At 40.3% G+C, this 27,044-nt stretch overlaps 1 long non-coding RNA gene across 1 annotated transcript in view, besides 1 other annotated feature; it reads left to right on the plus strand.

The window, feature by feature from the left end:
* Window positions 81-959: an enhancer, noted in NCBI's record as "OCT4-NANOG-H3K27ac hESC enhancer chr7:123634231-123635109 (GRCh37/hg19 assembly coordinates)". NCBI's record gives its function as "activates a minimal SCP1, AML or CMV promoter by ChIP-STARR-seq in naive and primed H9 embryonic stem cells {active_cell/tissue: H9 hESC(naive and primed)}" and the evidence as "EXISTENCE:reporter gene assay evidence [ECO:0000049][PMID:30033119]".
* Window positions 526-27,044, plus strand: part of LOC105375483 (uncharacterized) — a 33,025-nt gene continuing 6,506 nt past the window's right edge. Inside the window, exons 1-4 of the long non-coding RNA NR_133947.1 lie at window positions 526-621; window positions 832-1,006; window positions 4,927-5,053; window positions 19,015-19,111. This is a non-coding gene — a long non-coding RNA (uncharacterized LOC105375483). The remainder of the gene's footprint in view (window positions 622-831; window positions 1,007-4,926; window positions 5,054-19,014; window positions 19,112-27,044) is intronic.

The raw sequence follows: 27,044 nt of genomic DNA on the forward strand, positions 1-27,044 counted from the left end.
AAAACCATGAAAGTGTTATGGATATAATGCAAGTCTAAGAAACAGTATGTCCGGCCAGTGTTTGGCAAATTATGGACCTTGGGCCAAATCCAACTGGCTCCTGCTTTTGAAGTAACATATTATTGTAACATCCATTCAAACTATTTTCTGTGACTACTTTCTCCTACAATGGCAGAGTGAAGTAGTTGAGACAGAGTCTGTATGGCTCCCAGAGCCTAAAATATTTACCATTTGGCCCTTTACAGAAAGTTTGCTGATCTCTCTCCCAGGCTATACTATGAAAGCATTTAAAAAAAACCTTAATCATCAGTATAATCATGACTCTATAAGGCAAAGATATATTTAACAAATTTGTCCTACATTGTCCCTTTTCTACATTCAAGATGGTTTAGTGCCTTTCTACAGATCTGGAGCATTCCAGGACACCTAAGGCTGGAGGCCATGTGACAACACTGGGCTATTATGAGAGTTTCTTTGTTTACTGTTTGACAGGACAGATTCTGTCTTCTCAAATTCTGTTTGATCAGAAATGCTGTAGCATAATAAAGGGAGCAGATGAATGACTGAAGCCCTACAGCTCCACTAAAGATTAGAGTAAAATCTGCACTTCAAAAGATCCTGGTAAAGCAGGGAAGGTCCTTAGCTTTCCATTTTAAGTGGGAATGAGACAAGGGGATGGGGATGAAAGAACTGGGAGCCATCATTGCCAGATGCATGTTTGCAGAGCAGTGTGGGGATCACCTCATCTGTCCTTCAAGGTTCTGCAATGCTCTGCCTTCATTTTCCTTCTCAAGTTAACAGATATATTCTGACTCTGTCTTTCATGCTCAGTATTCTTGCAAGAGAACAGAGCTCCTGATCACCTGTGTGCGTCCTTTGAGTGGATGGCAGCTGCATCTCTGCATTACAGCTAGTTAGAATGATGAGTCCTTGCTATGCCTCAAGCACTGTTTCGAGTGTTTGATGTCTATTATCTCACTTCATCCTCACCAGGACCCCATCCGAGGTAAGTTCTATTATTGCTATTTTACAAAAGAGGACACTAACACACAGAGAGATTTAGTAACTTGCCCCAAATCACATAGTTGTTACTTGGCAGAGTAAAGATTTGAATCCAGGATTTCACTCCATAACCTGTTTTAAAATTATTATATGAATTTACCTCTTTTCCAATCTGGATGCCCTGATGAAAGGAGAGTGTAAAGCCACACTCCGGTGCTTAGGGGATGGAATCTCCCTTGAAAGGGATAAACATGGTTAATGTTAATCCCTAAAGAGAACAGGGTTTACGCAGGAAACTGGGACTAGAAAGACTGGCCTTGGTCAGGCTGGAGAAGGAATTTCTGGCCCCCACACTTGGCCTTTTCCTCTCTAGGCTAGCCTTTTAGGGAAGCAAAGATTTAGACTTTAGTTCTTGAATGTGGGCTACCAGTCAGCCCCTTTACATGGAAATAAAGCCTTGAGCTCAAAGAGCATGTGGTATCCTGTATTTCAAATTAAATAGTTTCAAGTTACTTCGTGGATTAATTTCCCTTTTGTTACTCCCTGGCAAAGTCTTATTTAAATATCCTGGCCTCATTTCACTTGTGTTAAGGGGTATCAAAGGGAAGAGACGATGGTGCATACTGAACCAGAATATCTAAAGGGAGAACTATATGCCCTGACTCTGAAACTAACATGTGGATGGCAACAGTGAGCAGAGAACTCTAAGGGGAAATGGGACTTTCCAGACATAAGTTGAAGTTACAAGCCAGAAACTCCTCCCACAGAAAAGCCCAATCGCTAGCATTAGATGATGAAATTGTGAGATGCAAAATGCAATAATGATGATAATGATGATGTTGTTCCCATTTGGGGACATGTTCACTATCTCCTAGAGAAACAAATATGAATCTATCCATCAAATAGTCACACACAATATATGTTAACCACAATACAATGCGGTGTTTCATAATATCAGTATAAACAAAGAGGGTAGGGGAGGGGTGCTGTGAGTTATGCCATAGTGGGGAGGGGCAGGCAAGCTGGATGAAGTGGGATAAAAGTTGCCGAAGTGGCTACCTTGTCCGGGGTATGTACCCTGGGATTCATTGTCGTGTGCTAGGAAACTTCAGGACACGGACACACATGAGGAGTTTAGGGGCAGAGGTTTAATAGGTAGAAGAAAAGAGAAAGAGAAATAGTTCTCTCTATAGAGGAAGGGGTCTCCGAGTGGAAAGGTCCGGCCGGTGGCAAATGCACCGAATTTTATAGCCCACTTTGAAGAGGCGGTGTCTGATTTATGTAGGGCTCACAGATTGGTTCTATCAGGTATGACATTTACACAGTGCTCAGGGAAGGCTGGTTGCCCCACCCTAATCTTATTATGCAAATGGGCTTTCCAGTTGATCGGTGCCATCTTGTCTGCTTTGTATGGTACAAGTGGCTGGCAGGGAAGAAACGGGGAGCCGCCATCTTGGAAAGTCTAGTCCATAGTTCCTCTCGGCATTTGTCCCTGAAAGCTCCCAGCTTGTAGGCTGCTCTTTGTTAGAAAATGATTTGGGGCTGCTTTTCATTAAAAAGAAAAGCCTTACCGAGGACCCCCATACACTTGCTTCTGCCTAAGTGATTTCTTCTTAACTCCTATATCATTACTTTGCACAGAGACAACAGAAGACATACAGCCCAGACTGATCTTGTAGGACTTGGTAAGAAATTTTTAAGTGAACAAAAAAAAAAAAAAAAAAAAAAGAAGGCGTTATTGCCAAAGTTTTAGTAAAGGAGTAATATGTGTGCTTTAAAAAGAAAAAAAGGGGGCCGGGCGCGGTGGCTCACGCCTGTAATCCCAGCACTTTGGGAGGCCGAGGCTGGTGGATCATGAGGTCAGGAGATCGAGACCATCCTGGCTAACAAGGTGAAACCCCGTCTCTACTAAAAATACAAAAAATTAGCCGGGCGCGGTGGCGGGCGCCTGTAGTCCCAGCTACTCGGGAGGCTGAGGCAGGAGAATGGCGTGAACCCGGGAAGCGGAGCTTGCAGTGAGCCGAGATTGCGCCACTGCAGTCCGCAGTCTGGCCTGGGCGACAGAGCGAGACTCCGTCTCAAAAAAAAAAAAAAAAAAAAAAAAAAAAAAAAGAAAAAAAAAACCTGGAAGATCTTCTAGGACACATTGGAAAGAAAGTTGCAGTCAAGTACAAACTGTTGCAAATCTGCAAAAAGGAGGAACAGGAGAGCACAGTGCTGAGTGCCGCTGCTGGCCCTGTTGCAGGGTCAGGGAAGATGAGACTGATTGACCACTGATTTGGCAACTGGAGGTCACTTGTGGCAGTGAAAAGAAAAATTTCCTTGAGTGGTAGAGACAAAACTTTTCTTCAAGAGAAAAAGAACAATGAGGAAGTAAAGACTGCATATGTGGGAATCTTTTTCAGAGAGTTTTGCTATGAAGGCTAGCAGAGAAACAAAAGCTGTAGGAGATTTGTGAAGGCAGGGAAGTTTTGTTTTGTGTGTGTGTGTGTGTGTGTGTGTGTGTGTGTGTGTTTTAGAAGGGAGGGAGCTATTAAAGTACATTTGTTGGCTGATAAGAATGATCCAATGGAGAAGGAAATTTGATGATGCAGGCAGTAGTGAGATTAATGTAGGTACAAAATCCTTTAGTATGTAAGAAGTGATTGGATGCAGTGTGCAAGGAGAGGTTGGGCTTATATTGGAACCCTGATGTTTACTCTTTAAATAGGAGAAAAGCCAGAATACATGAATTTGTATTCATGATGCAGTGAGGTTGAAAGTTTGGTGGTAGGTAGATGAGACGTCTTCTACTGTCATTCTTCTATTTACTATAAGCATCTAATTGCTTCTATTTTCTCAGTTCATAAGAAGTAGGTCTTCATTTGATGTGAGAAGGGGCTAGCAGTATCAGAAATCTGAGGGAAAAAGAGAAACTGTGAAATAGTAAGAGAACTACTTGACTAGGGAAAATTATTTGTATTGCCTGTCAGCGTTGAGGCCCAGTCTGGTTTTAAACTTAATATAAGGCCTCTGAGCTCCATTCTATCTCTCATTAGCTGCTCGAATGAAGGCATGAAATAAGCAGACAGTGGATTTCTCCACGTTTGAAATTTTGGAAATGATGTATAACAAGAGGGAGAGACAAGTAAGAGTGGTGAGGGAATGCATACAAGGCACTAATTATGATGATGGATCGTGTCATCCAAGCTGAGTAGAATGGAGTGAGGACAAGAATTAGGTTGGAGGAGTGAGGTGCAAAAATAAGAGGTGATACCTCTCATGCTCACATGTATCAGGACCAGTCACCTAATTTGTGGGGCTTAGTGCAAAAGAAAAATTTAGGGCCACTCATTCAAACATTATTAGGAATTTCAAGAGCTGGGCATGTTGGAGTATGCCTGTGATCTCAGTTACTTAGGAGGCTGAGGCAGAAGGATTACTTGAGGCCAGGAGTTTGAGTCTGTAGTGTGTTGTGATTATGCTTATGAATAGCCATTGCATTCTAGGTGGAGCAACATAGTGAGACCCCATCTCTAAAAAGAAAAAGAAATGAAATAAAATAATTTCAAGACAGTAACAACTGAGCATTAAATGAAGCATAGAGACTGTGTAAACATGGGACTGTGATTGCTGCAGAGGCCATAGACCCATGTAGCTGGCCCCACATATGAGCATATCCATATATAAAAGTCTGTTTTTGAAGACCCATTTTTATTTTTTAGGCCCCAATAATAAATGATCAATTATTAGTAGTTAAAGAAAAAAAGAAGAAAAGAGGTGGTAACTAGAGAGAGGGGATGATGAAAATTAGTTTGGGAGAGACTAGCTGGTCTAAGATGTAATCATGTTAGCAAGAGGACAGGATTACTGACATTAAAAGGCCAAAAGACAGAGAGGTGAGGATCTTGGTTGTATTAGTTACGGGGCTGTTATAACCACTAGGATTTGCGACTTGAGTAGCATTGACGGTGGTGATGGGGAGCCTGGCAAGACAGCAGATGTCTACAGCAAGAGGAGGGAATGGGAAGCTGCTCTGATGGCGTAATCATCAAGGTTGCTGATAAAATGGGTAAGAAAAAGAAACAAAGGTTTGGAAATATGAACAAAGGGCTGGGAGGTTATTACCACACTTTCAGCCAAGAGGCACATGAAATGCCGCAGAAAAACTGCCACATCCTGAGATGGCTGCAGGGGAGGCTGTGTTTTTAGAGGAAAGTCAAGTTCAGTGGAGCAAGAAGGGGCATAGAATATTCAAAGAAGAGTTTGAGAATCTGTGAAGTTTTACTGATGACAAATTATGGCTTCCAAAGGGTACAGTGAAAGGGCTTGGGAGGTTAGGGATGGGTAGAAGGTGAAGTCAGACTAGCTTTATGAGGATAAGAATCCAGGAGATAAGGGAAGACCTAGAAACTTGGATTTCTTGTGAGTCACCAAGGAATATAGGAATCTAGGGGACAGTAAGATTTATCCTGATGGTTTCTTAGGTGTAGGTGATAATCAGGTATAAATTTTTAACTAAGTCTCCAAAAGCAACTGCAACAGAACCACAAATGAACAAATGGGACCTAATTACACTAAAGAGCTTCTGCACAGCAAAACAAACTATTAACAGAGGAAACAGACAACCTATAGAATGGTAGAAAATATTTGTAAACCATGCACCTTAAAAAGGTCTGATATGCAGAATCTATAAGGAAATTAAATCAACAAGCAAAAAACAAACACATTAAAAAATGGGCAAAGGACATGTACAGGCAGTTCTCAAAAGAACACATGCGACTGGCCAACAAACATACGAAAAAATTCGCATCAACACTAATCATCAAAGAATTGCAAATCCAAACCACAATGAGACATCATCACACACCAGGCAGAATGACTATTATTAAAAAGTAAAAAATAAAACCAGATGTTGGTGAAGCTGTGGAGAAAAGGGAATGCTTATACTCTCTTGGTGAGAATATAAACTAGCTACTGTGGAAAACAGTTTGGAGATTTCTCAAAGAACTAAAAACAGAGCTACTATTCAACCCAGCAATTCCATTATTGGATATATATCCAAAGGAAAATAAATAATTCTACCAAATAAACATGCACTCATGTGCTTATTACCATGCTATTCACAATAGTGAAAACATAAAATCAACCTGGGTTCCCATACTTGGTGTATTGGATAAAGAAAATGTGGTACATATACACCATGAAATATGATGCAGCCATAAAAAGAATGCTATCGTGTCCTTTGCAGTAACATGGATGCAGCTGGGGCCATAATCCTAAGTGAATTAATGCAGGAATGGAAAGCCAAATACTGTATGCTCTCACTTGTAAGTGGGAGCTAAATATTGAGCACACATGGACATAAATGTGGGAACGATGAGCATTGTGGACTACTAGAGAAGGGAGGGAGAGGGGCGTGGGTTGAAAAACTACCTGATTGGTACAATATTAGTCAGTTTTTGCACTGCTATAAAGAAATACCTGAGAATGCATAATATATAAAGAAAAGAGGTTTAATTGGCTCATGGTTACCCAGACTGTACTGGAAACATGACTGGGGAGGCCTCAGATAATTTACAATCATGACAGAAGGTGATGGGGAAGCAGGCACATTTTACATGGCCAGGGCAGAAAGAAGAGAGGGAGAGAGGAGGTGCTACACACTTTTAACAACCAAATCTTGTGATCACTTACTGTCATGAGAATAGCACCAAAGAGGAAATCCATCCCCATGATTCAGTCACCTCCCACCAGGACCCACCTCCAATACTGGGGATTACAATTCGACATGAGATTTAGGTGGGGATAGAAATCCAAACCATGTCATTCCACCTCTGGCCCCTCCCGAATCTCATTTCCTTCTCACATTGCAAAATGCAGTCATTCCTTCTCAACAGTCCCTCAAAGTCTGAACTAATTTTAGCATTAACTCAAAATTCTACAATCAAAATTCTCATCTGAGAAAAGGAAAGTCCCTTCCACCTATGAGCATGTAAAATAAAAAACAAGTTAGTTACTTGCAAGATACAATGGAGGTACAGGCATTGAGTAAAGACTCTCATTCCAAAAGAGAGAAATCAGTCCAAACAAAGGGGTTGTAGTCCCCATGAAGGTCTGAAAGCCAGCAGTGCAGTCATTAAATTTTAAATCTCCAAAATAATCTCTTTTGACTCTGTGTCTCACATCCAGGGCATACCGGTGCAAGGGATGAGCTCCCAATGCCTTGGGAAGCTCTCTCCCTGAAGTTTTTCAGGGTACAGCTTCCACAGCTGCTCTCAAGTGCTAGTGCCTGTGGCTTTTCCAGGTTCATGGTACAGGCTGTCAGTGTATCTACCATTCTGGGGTCTGGAGGACTGTGGCCTTCTCACAGCTCCACTAGGCAGTGCTTCAGTGGGGACTCTGTGTGAGGGCTCCAAACCCACATTTCACCTTCATACTCCTGTAGTAGAGGTTCTCCATGAGGGCTCTGCCTCTGTAGCAGGCTTCTACCTGGACATCCAGGCTTTCACATACATCTTCTAGGGTTTTTATAGTTTGGGGTTTTACTTTTGGGTCTTTAATCTATCTGGAGTCAATTTTTGTATGTAGTGTAAGGAAGGGGTCTAGCTTTAGTCTTCTGCATATGGCTCGCTAGTTATCCCAATACCATTTATTGAATAGGGAATCCTTTCTCCATTGCTTTTTTTGTCAGCTTTATCAAAGATCAGATGGTTGTAGATGTGTGGCCTTATTTCTGTGCTCTCTATTCTGTTTCATTGGTCTATGTGTCTGTTTTTGTACCAGTACCATGCTGTTTTGGTCACTGTAGCCTTGTAGTATAGTTTGCAGTCAGGTAACATGATTTTTCCAGCTTTGCTCTTTTTGTTTAGGATTGCTTTGGCTATTGGGGCTCTTTCTTCATTCCATAAAAATTTTAAAATAATTTTTTCTAGTGGTGTGAAGAATGTCATTGGTAGTCTGATAGAAATAGCATTGAATCTGTAAATTGCTTTGGACAGTATAGCCATTTTAATGATATTGATTCTTCCTATTCATGAGCATAGGATGTTTTTCCATTTGTTTTTGTCTTCTCTTATTTCTTTGAGCAGTGTTCTGTAATTCTCATTGCAGAGATCAAAGAGAAAAAAATGTTCCTTGTCTTTTTTGATCTTTGTTGGTTTGAAATCTGTTTTGTTTAAAATTAGGATTGTAATACCTGATTTTTTGTTTTCCATTTTTATCCATCCCTTTATTTTGAGCCTGTGAACGTCACTATATGTGAGACGGGTTTCTTGAAGACCATTGGATCCTGCTTTTTCATCCAGCTTGCCACTCTGTCCCTTAAGTGGGTCATTTAGTCCATTTACATTCAAGTTTAGTATTGATATGTATGGATTTGATCCTGTCATTGTGCTGTTAGCTGGTTATATGTTGGCTTGTTTGTGTGGTTGCTTTACAGTGATAGTGGTCTGTGTGTTTAAGTATGTTTTTGTATTGGTAGCAGCCTTTCCTTTCTATATTTAGTGCCCCTTTCAAGATCTCTGGTAAGGCAGGTCTGGTGGTAATGAAATCCCTCAACATTTGCTTATCTGCAAAGGATCTTATATCTCCTTCACTTAGGAAGCTTAGTTTGGCTGGATATGAAATTCTTGGTTGAAGATTTTTTTTAAGACTGTTGAATATAATGTTTGTAATTCTCATTGCAGAGATCTTTCACCTCCCTGGTTAGCTGTATTCCTGGGCATCTAATTTTTCTTGTGGCAATTCTGAATGGGATTGCCTTTCTGATTTGGCTCTCAGTTTGGTTGTTGTTGGTGTATAGGAATGCTAGTGATTTTTGTACATTGATTTTGTATCCTGCAACTTTGATGAAGTTCTTTATCAGCTAAAGGAGCTTTGGGGCCAATAATATGGGGCCCCAATCTCTTCTACCTTATAGGGTTTCAGCTGAGAGTTTCACTGTTAGCCTGATGGGGATTCCTTTGTAGGTGATCTGCCCTTTCTTTCTGTAGCTGCCTTTAACATTCTTTCATTTTGACCTTGGAAAATCTGACAATTACATGTCTTGGGGATAATCTTCTTGTGTAGAATCTTGCAGGATTTCTCTGTATTTCCTGAATTTGACTGTTGGCCTATCTAGCAAGGTTGGGGAAGTTGTCATGGGCTATATTCTGAAATATACTTTCCAAGTTGTTTCCTTTCCTCCTTTCCCTTTCAGGGATGCCATTGATTAGTAGATTTGGCCTCTTTACATGATCCTATACTTCTTGGAGGTTTTTGTTCATTCCTTTTTAACATTTTTTCTTTATTTTGTCTGACTGTCTTATTTCAGAGAACCAGTCTTCAAGTTCTGAGATTCTGTCCTCAGCTTGGTTTATTCTGCCATTAATACTTGTGATTGCATTGTGAAATTCTTGCATTCTGTTATTCAGCTCTGTAGATACATTAGATTCTTTTTTATACAGGCTATTTTGTCTTTCAGCTCCTGCATTGCTTTATTGTGATTTTTATTTTCCTTGGATTGGGTTTTGCCATCCTCCTCCTGAATCTTGATGATTTTTGTTCCTGTCCACATTCTAAATTCTATTTCTGCCATTCCAGCCAGTTTGGCCTGGTTAAGAACTCTTGCTGGAGAAGTGGTGTGGTCATTTGGAGGACATATGACACTCTGGCCATTTGAGTTATCTGAGTTCTGGCATTGATTCTTTCTCTGTGTGTGAGTGTTCATTTAACTGCAGTGTAGATTGAGTACAGTCAATAGACTTCTGGATCTTTTCACTGGGCTGAGGCTTTATGTAGGGTCTTTATTTGAAGCTGACTTCTTGTCTCTGGTTTCAGAGGTGGGTATGTTAGTAAGGTATTTTTGGTGTGGAAGCTTTGGGGTATGATCCAGCAGGTGACACTTAGGCCTATTGGTCAGTTGGTAGATTCTTGCTCTGTTGTGTGGCTCCCCTATATTTCCTCACAGTTGCAGCTGTGTTACCCCTCAGTGCTCTGAAAGTGTGGATTCCTCTCCCCATTGAGTGCTGGCTCTAGTTCATGACTTGGCACTCCTGAGCTGCCCACTGCAGCTCTAGGGCAATCTTAGTGTTTATGTTCCTTCCCCAGCTTAGAGGCAGCAAAGCAAGGGACCTTAGTAGTGGCTGTGGCCAAGGGTCATTTCCTTGACTCCTGGGGGCCCCACCCCAGAGAGATGCAGATCATCAATCACTCAGTGCAGTCAGTCCAGGATAGAGGGTTTGTGCTATGGACCCAAGCCAGGGTTTCCCTGTCTGGTGATGAGCCATGGGTGGTAGGGGGTGTGGCACCCATGGGAGATGAACTGGCCTTCTCTCTTTGGGTTGACTGCAGATTGTTGGAGGTGTGGATAAGACACAAAGGGCCTTTGCGCCTTTGTTAGTCCAAAGGTGGCAAGGGCAGTTCTTCTGCAGAGGCAGGGGCCAAGAGGCTTTCAGTTGCCCTTGGATGCTCTGTCCAGGGAGTTCCTGAGTTGGTGCTGGCTCAATAGCTCTGGTAGGTGGTGGCTGGAGGCCCAGGCCTAGAGGACCTGCCTGGTGAGGAGATATGGGAACAGGTACCCACATAACAGCTGACCACTTTTCTGTACGGCTGCTGCGGTATGCTTGGGGCCCACTCCAGTCTCTGGTCACGTTGGATTTTCCAGAACCCAGAGGTGTCACCAGTGAAGTCTAAAAAACAACAAAGAAGGCAGCCTGTCCCTCCCTCTGGGAGTTTTGTCCCAGGAAGGTATGAACCTGTTGCCAGCCCAAAGACACCTGTAGGAAGTGTCTGGAGACCCTGGTTGGGAGGTCCCACCCAGTAAGGAGGACTGGGATTGGGCACCTGCTTAAAGCAGCAGTCTGGCTACATTTTGGTAGAGTCTGTGCTATGCTGGGGGATCCCTTCCACCCCAGGTTAACTCAGACACTCCAAAGCCTAAAGGTTGGAATGGCTAAGTCACCCAAACAGCAAAGATGGTGGCCCACCCCTCTGTCTGGGAGTGCTGTCCCAGGGGGAATTCAGATCTCTGTCAGTTAGAGAGCTTGGGTGGGGGTGGCTAGAGGCCCTGGTTGGGAGGTCCTGCCCAGTGAGGAGGAAAGGGATCAGGCACTCGCTTAAAGCAACAGACTGGTCACTTTTTGGTAGAGCAGCTGTGCTGTGCTGGGGAATCCCTTCCTCCCTGGGTTGGCTCCAATTCTCCAAAGCCTGAAGGCTGGAATGGCTAAAGTGCCTGGACTGCAAAGATGGCTGCCTGCCCCTCCCCCTGGGAGCTCCTTCTTAGGGAGGTGCAATGGTGCTCCTGATAGCTGGCTGGAATTCTAAGCCAGTGGGTCTTACCTTGTGAGGTGCACTGGAGGTGGGAGTGGAGCCTGTGGGCTGTTGCTGCTTAGCCCCCTGGATTCAGCCTCATTCCTAACGGTATGTGCAGGAGCCTAACGTCCCAATTTCCACATTCTTAAGCTTACCAATTAGTCCAAAGTTATTTTTTCTCTTAGAGAAACCACCTTCCTGGAACATTCCCTCCTCTCTCTCTCTCTCTGTCTTTCAATCTCTCCCAATCTCTCTTTCTGTCACCTTTTTTAAAAGTCTTTTCCTGTCACCCAGGCTGGACTGCAGTGGCACAATCACAGCTCACTGCAGCCTCAAACTCCTAAGCTCAAGTGATTCTCGCACTTCAGCCTCCCAAGTAGCTGGGACTACAGGTGGGTGTCACCACGTCCAGCTAACATACTGTTTTTATGCTGCAAATTGAACAGGCTGTGAATATGGGATCAAATAGATTAAATGTGCAAAGGTCATACAGCTAGTGTATGACAGAACTGGAACTGAAACGCAGGCCGTCTGTTCATTGCATTTCCTATTGGTGGTTGTATTGGTTATCTATTGCCAAAATAATGCTGTGTAACAAACTACCTCCAAATTCAGTGCCTCCAGAAACATTTCCTTAATTTTTCTCATGTGTCCAGGCTTGGCTGGGCTTGACTGACATAGCTCATTAGAGGCAGATCTGTTCCTTTTACCTCCAGTCTAGCCCAGTCCTGTTCTCATGGGGATAGCAGGAGTGCAGGAAAACAAACAATTTTGCCAGTGCTTTTCCTTTTCAAACTTTGATCCTTACTTCCTCTTAATGTCTCATTGATCAAAGCAAGTCACATGGCCAAAGCCAAAGTCAAAAGGCAGGAAAATTCAGTCCACCCATGTAGTAGGGGGGAAGGAGGGAATCAATACTTATTGATAATAACTGAATCTACTACAATGCCTAAGTAGCAAGATATATAAATGACATGCAACTCCACTAAAATGTCTAATAATTAAGAAATTAACTAACCTTAAGATTTCTCAATTAGTTACTTTTTGCTGAAGCGTAAGCAGTTTCCTCAGTTCTAACCACAAATTCTTACATAAAATATGTAAGCATTAAAATCATATATTAATACAGTATTAAATATATTTCAATAATATGTCAAAATATTTCAATTTGATTTTATTTGCTTTCTTCTCATTCTCCTTTATAGTTTCTGAATTTTGTGCCATATGTATGGCAAATGCATTTGAGAAATGAAATGTTATAAAAAATAAAAGTTTACTAATTTATTTGAACCTTAAAACAGAGCACTAAAGTATCTTGCTCTGAGACCGTATCTATATTTAAATGGTAAAAATACACAGATCAGTTTTATTCCAAATTAGTATTCCTAGAGTTAAACTATATCCATACTTTTTACATTTATAGCAGGGCATATTTTAAAAACACATGACTATAACATGCGAATGTAATCATTCCTTATGGGCCACTGAATAATAAGTATATCTAAGAAGAAAGCAAGGATATTTTAAAAGGTAAAAGGCTTGCAAATTTCTGTTTGAAAATTTTAAGCAAATTAAGATATGCTTGTCTGTGAAAAAAATGTAAAAGTTCAGCTGTATAAATCACTTAATATCCCATGCAAAGTAATAAAAAAAAAAACTTGGACTAAAACATGAAAGTTACTATTATACATTTATATGTATTGTGTTTATATACACCTGTAAATCCAGTAGGAAATAGTCTACTACTAAATCTTTTCTTCTTGTTTACACTTCTACAGCCTATGGCTAAACGGATTTTTCACTTTTTGTTTGGACAATGTGGAAGTACCAGGTACCAGGACTCTCCCTTGTCATAACTCCCATGTAGGTGAATGAATTGAGCATGGTTAGTCTGTAACAGGCTCTAGTATACATGCTTGGTGGGGTTAAAAAAATAGAGATCCACTGAAGGATTCTCAGCCATTAAACTTGGGACTTTACCCAGCACCTCTGTGCCCTACTCTAAAAGTATCCATAACTTAGCTCTGATCACAGTGCTTTCCTGCAAGCTGCAATTAGGTGGGATGTCTTAGCTGTCTTGCTAAAAATACACACTTTGAAAGATAGTCTTCAGCAGTCTGCGGGAGGATAAGAGAGGGTGAGGCACAAACCGTCTGTTTACCTTGCTCAGGAGCGCTGCTTGTGCTTATTTTCTGACCCCAGGTCCTGGCACTTGCCAGCACCAATCTTTCAATTCTGTTATGTCCTCCTAGGGAGAGACTAAAATTGCCCAGACCTGCTTTATGTTTAGATTACCTCTGAAGCCACTTAATTTGCAGTTGCCAATAGTTGCTTTGTCTTTCTCAATTATGCTCTAAATTGGTGTGAAAACATTAGGATTATTGTGCTAATTAAAATATCTTTTGCACAGCTGTACTTTGCCAGGAGTGGGTGAAGGAAAGCCCCATGGGCAGCCCCAAAGCCCCTCCAGGGAGCAGGTTTGTCATCTCAGGTGGCCCAATGTGACACCTTGAGGGGCTTCTCCAATGCACCTCACCCTCAACCACTACCTTGTCAGGTTGTCTGGGACCCTTGGTCTTTAAATATCACACAATATATACAAAACACCTTAGAAGATGAGACAAACCAGCATCTGGCCAAGTGAGTGTTTATTAAAATAAAATACAAGAAAAATAACTTATGCAAGCTATCTAATACTATAGAATCAGAAAGGTCATGAGATATTTTTACATAAGGTAATTCTATCAGCTTTGACAATACTACGTTTTAGGATAAGAAGCTAGCTAAAAACGTGAAAAAAGAAGAGAACGAGAAAGAAGGAACAGGATGTGGATGATGCACTGTTTAATCTGTCATATACTTAAAGCTAAAAATCTTGAAGTCACAACCCTTCCTGTCAGGCCTCTGAGCCCAAGCTAAGCCATCATATCCCCTGTGACCTGCATGTATACATCCAGATGGCCTGAAGTAACTGAAGAATCACAAAAGAAGTGAAAATGGCCTGTTCCTGCCTTAACTGATGACATTCCACCATAAAAGAAGTGAAAATGGCCGGTCCCTGCCGTAACTGATGACATTACCTTGTGAAATTTCTTCTCCTGGCTCATCCTGGCTCAAAAGCTCCCCCGCTGAGCACCTTGTGACCCCCTCCCCTGCCTGCCAGAGAACAACCCCCTTTGACTGTAATTTTCCACTACCCACTCAAATCTTATAAAACGGCCCCACCTCTATCTCCCTTCGCTGACTCTCTTTTTGGACTGAGCCTGCCTGCACCCAGGTGATTAAAAAGCGTTATTGCTCACACAAAGCCTGTTTGGTGGTCTCTTCACACAGACGCGAGTGAAACTTCCTATGCCTCTTTTGCCATATCCAGGATGTTTCCAGAGCCTACTTTCCAAATAACATTCTCTTCTGCCATAAGCTTAACTGAGGCTCTCAGCATTTCTTACTTCGATATTACAGTGACTTCCCAGGTTCTCTTTCATTTACTATGTCCCCCTACTAATAGGTATAATTTTTCTAAAACCATATCTGGTTACAGATGGTTCACTTTCCTGTTTCAATTAATACCCAATATACTCAGGATAAATTTGACCTCAGCATGGTAAACATATCTCTTCATAGCCTGACCCCTACGCCGGTTTCACCACTCCTACCTTGATTCTACCTCCTTGCTTCTGATTGGAACATTCCATTACGCTCCATCTCTATGCCAGTTAAGTGTTTATCCCTATGCTTGGTTAAACAGAGAATTTGTGAAGGATTCTGTTTCTTATTCCCTTATAGGTACAGAGGGGATACTCAATACATAGCTACTCCCATCAATCAATTTGGAATTATGGTATAATTCTAATCAAACTTTAAAAGAAGTCTTACAAGTGTAGAATTTTGAGATAAATGAGCGTATTTATGGAAGCTAAAGTGATTCCTGACTCCATTATAGTTTGGATGTCTCCTCCAAATCTTATGTTGAAATGTGATCTCCAGTGTTGGAGGTGGGGCCTGGTGGGAGATGTTTGTATCTTGGGGGTAGATCTCTCATGAATGGCTTGTGCCATCTCCTTGGTGATAAGTGAGCTCTCACTCTTGAGTTCACATGAGATCTAGATCTGGTTGTTTGAAAGTCTGTGGCACCTCCCCTCCCCACTCTCTCACTTCCTCCTGCTTTTGCCATGTGAAACACCTGTTCCCACTTTGCCTTCTGCCACGAGTAAAAGCTCCCTAAGGCCTCCCCAGAAGCTGAGCAGATGGCAGCACCATGCCTGTACAGCCTGCAGAAGCATGAGCCAATTAAAATTCTTTTCTTTATAAATTACCCCGTCTCAGGTATTTCTTTATAGCAATGCAGAAATGGCCTAATGCACCCCAATAGGTAAAAATATACTTAAAATTTTCTATTAAGAAGCAGCTGGTATTTAAATTAAATTAGATCTGGCCCATGGGAAGGAAGAGGGAAAGTGCAGTCTTATATACAACAGAGAAAACATGTTAGGAAAAGGTAATGGCGGCCGGGCGCGGCCTGTAATCCTGTAATCCCAGTACTTTGGGAGGCCGAGGTGGGCGGATCATGAGGTCAAGAGATTGAGACCATCCTGGCCAACATGGTGAAACCCCGTCTCTACTAAAAATACAAAAAATTAGCCGGGCGTGGTGGCAGGCTCCTGTAATCCCAGCTACTTGGGAGGCTGAGGCAGGAGAATCGCTTGAACCCGGGAGGCGGAGGTTGCAGTGAGCCGAAATCGTGTCATTGCACCACTCCAGCCTGGGCAAAAAGAGTGAAACTCCGTCTCAAAAAAAAAAAAAAAGTAATGGCATTTTTTATTGTGATTTATAAAATAAGTTTTCATCCCTGATAAATCATAGCTATGGATTTCATTAATTTAAGAGCAAATTTTTAATGGGAAGTGAATTAAAGAGTCAGCTTAAATATTTACATATTTAATTTTAAATTAACCTACTTAATCTCTGTGTGAAAATTTTGCATCACTATTTCATTGGCCAATAAAGAGAGAATTCAAAGATGGATGAATACAAAAAGATAAGATTAAATCTGAATTTATCTGTATACCAACATGGACTGATCCCAGGGGAGTGGATCATTCACTAATCAGTAGTAATGGATCACCTTAGTGTCCAACTGGTTGGCACCACATCTAGGTCAGTACATTCCACAGAGAAGACACAGGAGGGAGCAGGGAGAGTTAAAAGGCCTTCAACAGAGGAAAGCCTCTAGCAAGAAAGAGAAGAAAGCGATTATGGGACTCTAAAAGGCACCATCAGATAGGGGAATACATATCCTGTTGTTTCTGAACAATGGCAGGCTTTCTTTTCAGGGTCTCATTCGTTTCTATTCCACATATTCATTGATATTAAAACCTGCACTTACACTCATTTCCTTCAAATTCATAATTTTGTTTTCATTTCAAAGTTTGGTCTCCTAAGGACTTTACTACGTGAATACAGAATACAGAAGACTCTAACAATGTATGAGGGTTTGAATTTCAGACTTATTCAGTCAGTTTACATTTCTTCATTCTTTTCATCTCCACTTTTCCAATTTCCTCCTAGTCTCATAAGGAGAATAAGAAATGCAGTGGTGTTAAGAAGAGTATTCTATAATGCCTAGTAAATGCCAGGCATGCAGATGTAGCCGAGTTTGAAAACATTTTAATGGGTTGTTTAAAAGTTTTGTTCTGATACAGCCACAGCTTGGGGTTATGAAGCTCTTCCACTAATCAGATTATATCAAAAACTGAAAGTTGCAAAACTGTTTCTAAATTTATGTCACATACTCCCATTAAAGAGAAAAGAATTATTGTGGAAATGATATCTATCATTAATTTGCTTAAATAATAGAAACGGGCAAAACCTTGTGTTTATAGCTCTTACACAAATATAAAACTTAAACGAATCTATACATTAATATAAAGCAAGCCATAAAGCAATAATGTTAATTTAACATGATGGATGATATTGCTTGCTGAAAGTCAATTACAGATATTGGGTGTAGAGTAGGAAGATGTAGCTTCGGATATTGTCCCCTGTTTGATCTGTTTCTATGCATCTGTTCACATAAATGTTGTATTTCCACAATTCACTAGTATTGGTGCCTTTGAGATGCTTATAATGTTGTTACTTCAAGATAACCAAATCCACTGAGTAATCAAAAAGGCCAATTTGAATGAGGTGGTACGAGGCAACTCTGAAAAGCTGTTCTTTTGTTTAGTTGAAGATAAATTTGCATGTAGTGTTAATTAAACTTACTTTGATTAGTGATCTAAATTATTACCACATTTGAGAACAGAAAAATATTTTTGGTGCTAATAAAGTGAAGTGATTTGGCAATTCATCCTGTAGAATGAGTATGGTAATCATTCATCTGGGTTCAATTTCCCTGTAATATCATGTACATTGTGATAAATCAATTTTCCTGTCATGAACCTTAGTTCATTTGGTGTACCTTAAAGTCATTAGCTTTTCACTTGGCACAGCCTCAAGAGCGACCCCCATAATAACTAAAATTATAAACATGGGCAATAATATTGTAATGCAAAATTATAAGATACAGGACTTAGTTACATCAATAAAATAAAAGTGCAAAGATTAACAAAAAAAACCTTAGAAATGAGAAATGACAACCTTCAGATCACATTTTACAATAAGCAGACTTCCAAATTAATCAATCTTGGGGAGGCCTTGTGACTCTATGGTGACATTCTGTCTCTCAGTAAATAATAAATTCCTCAAATGGTTATACTGATCAATGTATAACCTGCAGACACTAAATAGGATGCTGATTTATTTTAAGATTTGCTGAAGCATGAAGTTCTGCTGATGGTCCTACATGTAGACATTTTTAACTCATATGATGTTGTCTGTAGCCGATGATTATGCCTTTTGTATTGTACTCTCTAATGAAGAGGGGACAACTACATTATGAGGAGTCTCCCTTTTTTTAAAAAACTTTCTTTTTTTTTTTTTTTTTCTGGTGATAGAATCTCTGTCACCCAGGTTGGAGTGCAGTGGCCTGATCTCGGCTCACTGCAACCTCCGCCTCCTGAGTTCAAGTCATTCTCCTGCCTCAGCCTCCCCAGTAGACAGAATTACAGGTGCCCACCACTACACCTGGCTAATTTTTGTATTTTTAGTAGAGATGGGGTTTCACCATGTTGTCCAGGCTGGTCTGGAACTCTTGACGTCTGGTGATCCACCCGCCTTGGCTTCCCAAAGTGCTCAGATTACAGGTGTCAGCCACTGCATCTGGCCTAAAACTTTCTTATAAATATCTTTCACCTTGTGACAGGCTGTGGAACACCCCCAGCTCTGCTGGTGTGTCTTCCTGGGTCAATCCTCACATTTGGCTTCCAATAAACCTTTATGTGGCCGGGTGTGGTGGCTCACACCTGTAATCCCAGCACTTTGGGAGGCCGAGGTGGGTGGATAACTTGAGGTCAGAAGTTCGAGAACAGCCTGGTCAACATGGCAAAACCCTGTCTCTACTAAAAGTACACAAAAATTAGCCGGGCATGGTGATATGTGCCAGTAATCCCAGTTACTTAGGAGGCTGAGGCAGGAGAATTGCTTGAACCAGGAGGCGGAGGTTGCAGTGAGCTGAAATTGCTCCACTGCACTCTGCCTGGGCGACAGAGTGGGACTCCATCTCAAGAAAATAAAATAAATAAATAAATAAATAAATAAATAAATAAATAAATCTTTATGAAATTATTTCTATCTCAACAGCCTTAATTTCAGTTGACAGTAACTATTGGATCCCCAGGAATATGTTTGCATATTTGGGGAGAAAATACTATTGGAGGGGAACAGAAATGCTACTAAGGTAAGTTTTTGTGATATACACATATACATTATATAAAAATATATCAATATATACAAATATTATCATTATTATAAAAATATATGATTATATAAAATATATACGATTTTTCTAGTGAGAAGTAGGCTTGCTGTAACTTGCCCTGAAAAAGACATTTTCTTTCATGGAAAAACAGCTACATGATTTGACTGTGGCAAACTGACCTTTCTTTATCTGGAGAAGAGAAAAACAACTCTGAAGACATGGCAACTAAAATCCTTTGAAGACTTATTCAGTTAACGAGTTGTAAAAGAGGACAGTTAGAGAAATGAATCCAAGCATAGCTGATTGTCAAGTAATGCCAGCTTCAGAGGAGCCCTGGAGTTTAAGTGATAAAAAAAGACATGATAAGAAATGGTAGGCTCATCATTTTAAGTGGTAACCACTGATAGTTCCCACGAAGAAAAGTCAAAATCAGACAGAAAAATCTGTTTGGACCTCTAAGAGCTTTCCTAGGAAGTATTTGATTCCAAGCCAAATGATTAGGCTGCCTTTGTTCTACTTTAATTTGAGAATAAATCAAGAATTGAAAAAGCAATAATTCACAATCTTAGGCATTTAATGACCAGTTAGTTAATAGTGGCTAATCTAATTATTTTTCTACTAGACAAAATTTGATAAAATGCTGCTTTAATTTCTTCTTCAATGTGATGACTATGGTAATTTAAAGTTTAGTTCAGACAGATTGAATTACATAGAAATGGGCACAAGTAACGTAAACTACATGATTTATGATTTGGCTCTGTGTCCCCACCCAAATCTCATCTCAAATTGTAATCCCTATGTGTCAAGGGAGGGACCTGGTGAGAGATGATTGGATCCTGGAGGCGGATTTTCCCCTTTCTGTTCTCGTGATAGTGAGTTCTCACAAGATCTGGTCGTGTGATAAGTATCTGGTGTTTCCACTGCTCCCTCTCTCTCTCCTGCTGCCTTGTGAAAAAGGTGCTTGCTTCTCCTTTGCCTTCCGCCATGATTGTAAGTTTCCTGAGGCCTCCTGAGCCATGCAGAACTGTGAGTCAATTAAATCTCTTTTATTTATAAATTACCCACTCTCAGGCAGTATCTTTATAAGCAGTGTGAAAATGGACTAATACACTATAAGACTGTTGCATTAGATGTCTATTCCTTCTGAAGACTGAGGGAATGAAAAGAAATGAATATAAACTATAATTTCAAAGATGTGATAAGAATTGATTACTGGTTCCATATACAGTAGGCAAGAAGGAATAGGTTTTTTTGCTCTTCAATTTTGATACTTTTTGAATAAGTTTATGTCACAGGCAAAAGGGCTGTTATAGAGTTACCAAGAGTAGGAAGATTACAGTGAAACATGGGATAGGTAGAAGATTAGTTGATACATTTAGGGAATGTTTCTCAGAGCATATTGTGTGAGAGGCCAAAACACAAGACAAAATGAAAAAAAATCAAGAAATCTATTCTGTACTCAAAAAGTTTGGGAAATAGTGTATGCTATATCAAGCTCTTGGAAGCTCACAATGAGCATTAGCTAACATGATTTCTGGTAAGTTCTACAGTAAGGAAACGTCTTGAATGTTTTTAAAATCAGTTTCTCAGATTTATTTGGATGTCAAACTTTTTTATTCCCAAGTGCTGATTTAGGGAGAAGCAGCAACAGGTTCACAAAAAATCCAAGAGGAAAGGAATTAAATCAGTTTTCAACTTAAAAGTTTGTTAAGTTAATAGCAATCTTATATACTTGCTTTTTTTTTGGTTTTTAGATGCCAAACACTATCTAATAATCTGGGTTATCTGAAGTTATTTAAAATGCCTTTTTTTCTGAAATTCTTTTCTGAATTACTTTTTTTTTTTTTTTTTTTTTTTTTTTTTTTTTTTTTTTTTTTTGAGACGGAGTCTCGCTCTGTCGCCCAGGCTGGAGTGCAGTGGCGCGATCTCGGCTCACTGCAAGCTCCGCCTCCCGGGTTCACGCCATTCTCCTGCCTCAGCCTCCCGAGTAGCTGGGACTACAGGCGCCCGCTACCACGCCCGGCTAATTTTTTGTATTTTTTTTTAGTAGAGATGGGGTTTCACCGTGTTAGCCAGGATGGTCTCGATCTCCTGACCTCGTGATCCACCCGCCTTGGCCTCCCAAAGTGCTGGGATTACAGGCGTGAGCCACCGCGCCCGGCCTCTGAATTACTTTTGTTTAAACTGAACTGAAATATTTTGATTACAAATTAAAGTCAAAATTAAGGTGATGATAGACCCAAGTAAAAGTGGTACACTTTCAGTAGCCTTAATGGTAATGATTAACTTAAGACAACACATTATTTTTCAGTTTTTTATTTTTCAAAAGTATGGGTTTATGGTCTGAATTAAGTCTCCCTAAAAGATATGTTGAAATCCTAACCCCTAGTACCTCAGTATGTGACCTTATTTGGGAATGGGATTGTTGCAGACGTAATTAGTTAAGATGAGGTCACACAGGAGGTCACACAGGTTGAGGGCACTTTCTGGCTGATAGACTATGTCTTTTTGCTGTGTCCTCACATGCTGGAAGGGATGAACCTGTTCTCCGGGATCTCTTTCAGATGGGCACTAGTCCCAATCATGAGGGCTTTGCTCTCATGACCTAATCACTTCCCAGAGGCCCTACCTGCTAATACTATCACATTGGGGACTAAGATTTCAATATATGAATTTTGTGGGGACACAAACATTCAGCACAGCAACAGACAGAGAGAAGATGACCATGTGATGAAGAAGGCAGAGATTGGAGTGATACATCTACAAACTAAGGTACACCAGTGATTGCTGGTAAATACCGGAGGCTAGAGGAGGCAGAAAGGATTCTCCCCTGCAGGCTTTAGAGAGAGCATGGCGCTACTGACACCTAAATTTCAGACTATTAACCTCTAATAGTGTCAGATAGTAATTTTTGGTGTTTTAAGCCACCCAGTTTGAGTCACTTTTTCTAAGAGCCCTGACAAACTAATACATATAGACTAGAGCTGTAGAATTCAATACAGTAACCACTAGCTACGTGTGATAACTTCATTTTAAATTAGTCAAAATTAAATAGAATTTAAGATTTAGCTCCTCAGGTAGACTACCTCTAGTCCAGCTGTTCAGCTACCACATATGTTTAGCGGACATTAAATAGTGCAAATGACATTTGTCATTACATAATATTCTGGATAGAAGTGGTATAAAGTCGATTTTCAAATTATCTATCAACATTTAACTGGTGTAGTGAGTGGGCCTATTCAAGAAAGTTTGGTAATGGAAAACAAAGTGGCTTTGTATAAAGACCATTTTGAATAGCTAACTTCAGCCACTCACCTTTTCTATTTTGAGTTTTGATCTCATTAAACTATGTGGGTGCAGGTTGACCCCTAACAGAATTCCTTAACATTAAGATACCCATATTATCTCAAATATGTAATTTGTGTGGTAAAGTCAAAAATCTGGAATTTATTTTATCTTCATATGGTACCCATGTTAAGGTACCTATATTTCCTCAAATATATAATTGGTGTGGTAAAGTTGAAAAATCTGAAATGTATTTATCTTCATAAAATTCACCTCATTGCTTCAACAGAAAGTTTTCTTCACTCAAACTATTTTCATTTTTTTTCAGAGGCTAATGATTTCTAACACAAAGAATGATACCAGGGATGTGTCTCTTTACTATGTTGTGCTTTAATTGGAGAAGGAACACACTGAACATTTAAACTACCAACAGTGGTTCCTTAGAAGGACACTATTTCCCTCGGACATTGTATCTAAATTGCCTGATTTGCACACAGCTTCCAAAGTAATATAAGATTATCTGGACTAAAAAAAAATAATTCATTTGCCTAAGAAAGCCAAATACCTTGTTATCTGTGTTATCTATTTTATGCCCTAAAAAGCAAAACATTGATAAGCACATTTGGAGTTATTTATAGATCATCTAGAAATACAATTAGGAATTCATGCTTCCAAAATGAAAATAAATACCCTATAAACTTAATGGAAATGTAGTTACCCATTTATGATACACCATTTATAATGCATTGAAAATTGATTTTGTACTCCTGAATATCATTGGTCAAATATTTTAAACTCTCATCTCAAAACATGTTCCATGAAATTAAGGAAATTGGCTCTGAGTATAGTTGCTCTCCAAGGCCTCTGTCTCAGCTCTCAGAAAGGCCTGGAGACAGAGTGTCTGTGATTAGATGTTTGCAGAGAGCTAATTTTCTGAGTAACAAAGTAGACAGACTCAGAAGAAAAAATTAAAATGGCAGGGGAGGGGGCTGATTTAGCAATCTGTGTACAAATTGTAAGAAAGGTTAAAATTAGGCATAGACAAAATAGAGCTCCTCCCAAGAGACAATAAAAAAGCAATGACAATGAGATTATATAACATAGTCCAAGGATAAAACTAAGAGGATGCTCCCTCTTTCTCTTTTTGGATGCTCTTTTCCCCTGCCTAGTGACACAGCCCTGAACTTTCTGAGGGACATATAATGTTGCCAAACAAGAATGGTGAAATGGAGTGTTATTCCTGTCTCTTACTAACTGTATGGCAGGGGAAGTCTCAGTGGCTTTATCCATGAGTTGTAGATAATAATAATAATGATAATAACAATTATCACACAGGGTCTTGGTTGGAATTAAAAGAAGGAATTAAAAGTGCTGTAAATGGAATTGTGTTCCCTCCAAATCCATATGTTGAAGCCCTAACCTTCAATGTGACTGAATGCGGACATAGGGCGTTTGTAGAAGCAATGAAGATTAAATGAGGCCATAAGAGCAGGGTTCTGATCTGATAGGATTAGTGTCCTTATAAGGAGAGACACTGAGGAGCTCAATCTTTTTCCACCATGTGAGGACCCAGAGAGAAGATGACTGTCTGCAAACCAGAAAGAGCGGCTTCGCCAGAAACCAACTCTACTGGACCTTGATCTGGGGCCTCTAGCCTCCAGAACAGTGAGAAAAAAAAATTACTGTTGTTTAAGCCACTCAATCTATGGTATTTTTGTTAGGGCAGCCTGAGCCGACTAATACAATAAGGTAGGTAATCAAGGTGTCGTGTCAGACTTGCTTGTTTTTTATTCCTAGAGCATTCCTAGTGTCTGCTTCTGTTATATAGCAGGTGCTCAACAAATCATTGCTGATTTATTTATTTAAATACTTACGGATTTAAATTCCCTTTGAGTAGAGCTGACTTCAGAAGCTTTCTCTGGGTTCTGCATTGGATTGTATAAGATGGGCAGCGTGCAAATTCAGTGCAGTGCTAGCTCCTTATGTCTTTTTCCCCTTTCAATCCTATGTTGCTTTTCTGTCAATGTGGATGTTTAGAGAATGCAGCTTGGTATCCAGACTGCCTGAGTCCAAATCCTCACTCTACCCCTATGGCCTTGGGAAATACAGTCAGTTCTCCTGTGTCCCATTTATAGCATATAGAAAAATGGAGATAATAACAGTGCCTACCTCATCAGATTGCTATGAGAACTAATTATGCTTAGAAGATAACTTGTAAACTCTCAATAATGTTGGTAGCTATCAATTATTCTTAAGCATGCTTTAACCGTGAGACTTTATGTCCTTTTTATCTTTTGTATCTTCAACTTCTATACTGGGTTGCATTCTTTCTCACCAGCATTTATATTCACACAAATCTCCCGATTTAGGATATAGAAATTCTTCCTTGACTCCACACACATGTTGAGCTACAGGCCCCATCCTTTTTTTCCACTATATAATCAAAATTTCAAACAAGTCATTTATGCCATTGTCACCATTTTCTCAGGTCACACTCCTCAATATATTTCTGTACTTTGCCTTTCTGAATATCCTGAAATATAATGGTCATTGACCTTGGTCTTATTTTAATTTTATGCCAAATTTGATGATAATGAACACATGCCCCTCCTCTTCCTCCTCTCCTCTTGCTGTGGTCTGAATGTTTGTGTCCTTCAAACTTCATATGTAGAAATCCTAGTCCCCAGTGTGATGGTACTAGGAGGTGGCCTATGGAAGGTGATTAGATCACAAGGGAGAACCCCTCATGAATGAGATTAGCGCCCTTATAAAAGAAGCCTGAGAGAGCTTGCTTGTCTCTTTCACCATGTGAGGACACAGCGAGAAAGTGCCATCTATAAATCAGGAAATAGGCCTTCACCAGATACCAAATCTGCCAGCGCCTTGATCTTGAACTTCACAGCCTTCAGAGCTACAAGAAATACATTTTTGTTATTTTGTTAAGCTACTCAGTTTGTGGAATTTTGTTACAGCAGCCCATAAGGACTAAGATGCTTCCATTGTCAGTGACACTACATTCTATTGGTCTTGCCCATCTGACTGTATTTATTACTGTATTTCTTGCAGGCTTCCTGTTTTCTCTTACTTTGGGAAATTCTCAAGTCTCTGAGTCAACCTTCACTGACATGGAGTCCAGGAGACTCAAAATGTCACTGTGGCCCTCCAAAGTAGAGGCTTATGGAGGTCAGGTGGCCAGTAAAGTTTTAGGTCAGGTCCATCTTACAGGGGGTCCAGGGGGTTGCTGAACACATTCTGTGATTATTTCCCCAGTTCCAGAATGCATAATTGGAATAGACAAACTTATCAGTTGGCAGAATCCCCTCACTGGTTCTCTGACCTGTTGAGTAAGGGCTATTACTGTGGAAAAAGCCAAGTGGAAGTCATTAGAATTGTGTTTATCTAGAAAAATAGTGAATCAAAAACAATTCCATATCCTTGGAGGAACTGCAGAGATTAGTGCCATTATTGAGGACTTGAAAGACACAGGGTGGTGATTTCCACCACATCCCCATTCAGCTCTTCAGTTTGACCTGTGTAAAACACAGATGGGTCTTAGAGAAAGACAGTGGATTATCATAAACTTAGCCAAGTGGTGACTTTAATTGCAGCTGCTATACTAGATGTGGTTTTATTGCTTTAGCAAATTAACATAGCCCCGATACCTGGTATGTAGCTGTTGATCTGGCAAATGCCTTTTTATCCATACTTGCTGATAAGACACACCAGAAGTAATTTGCTTTAAGCTGGCAAGGCCAGCAATATACTTGCACTGTCTTATCTCATGAGTATATTTATTCTCCAGCATTATGTCATAATTTAGTTGTCAGGGATATTGATTGACTTTCCTTTCTTTGATTGACTTAGATATCACACTAGTCCATTACATTGGTGACCTTTTGCTCATTGGACCTAGGATCAAGAAGTAGTAAATACTCTAGACTTGTTGGTAAGGCCATTTGTGTGCCTTAGGATAGAAATTAAAACTAGCAAAATTTAGGCACCTTCTCCCTCTTGAAAATTCTAGGGTTCCAGTGGTGTGGGGCATATTGAGATCTCTCTCCTAAGTAAAGAATAAGTTGTTGTATCTGGTCTACAACTCCTACACCAAAAAGAGGCACAACAGCTAGTGACCCCCTTTGTATTCCACATATTCTAGTATGTTACTCTGGCCCATTTACTGAATGACCTAAAAAGCTGCCAGTTTTGAGTGGGGCCCAAGACAGAAGAAGGTCTTGCAACAAATACGAGTTGCTGTGTAAGCTGCTTAGCTGCTTGGGCCACAGTGATATTTTGGGCCTCCTGGACTCAATGTCAATGAATGTAGTCTCAGAGACTTGAGGACTTTCCAAAGTACAAGAAAACAGGAAGCCTGCAAGAGATACAGGAATAAATACAGTCAGATGGGTGAGAGACTCAGAGATTGTGGTGTCATTGACAACTGCAGATCCAATGGTGTTTGAAATGTCAATGGCAGATAGGGATGCTGTTTGGAGCCTTAAGCAAGCCCCCATAGGTGAATTGTACTGTAGGGCCTTAGGATTGTAGAGCAAATCCCAGCCATTCTCTATGGATAGCTACTTTTTTTTTTTTTTTTTTTTTTTTTTTTTTTAGAAATAACTCTTGGCCT

This window comes from Homo sapiens, chromosome 7 (genome assembly GCF_000001405.40).
Source record: "Homo sapiens chromosome 7, GRCh38.p14 Primary Assembly".
Classification (NCBI taxonomy): Eukaryota; Metazoa; Chordata; class Mammalia; order Primates; family Hominidae; genus Homo; species Homo sapiens.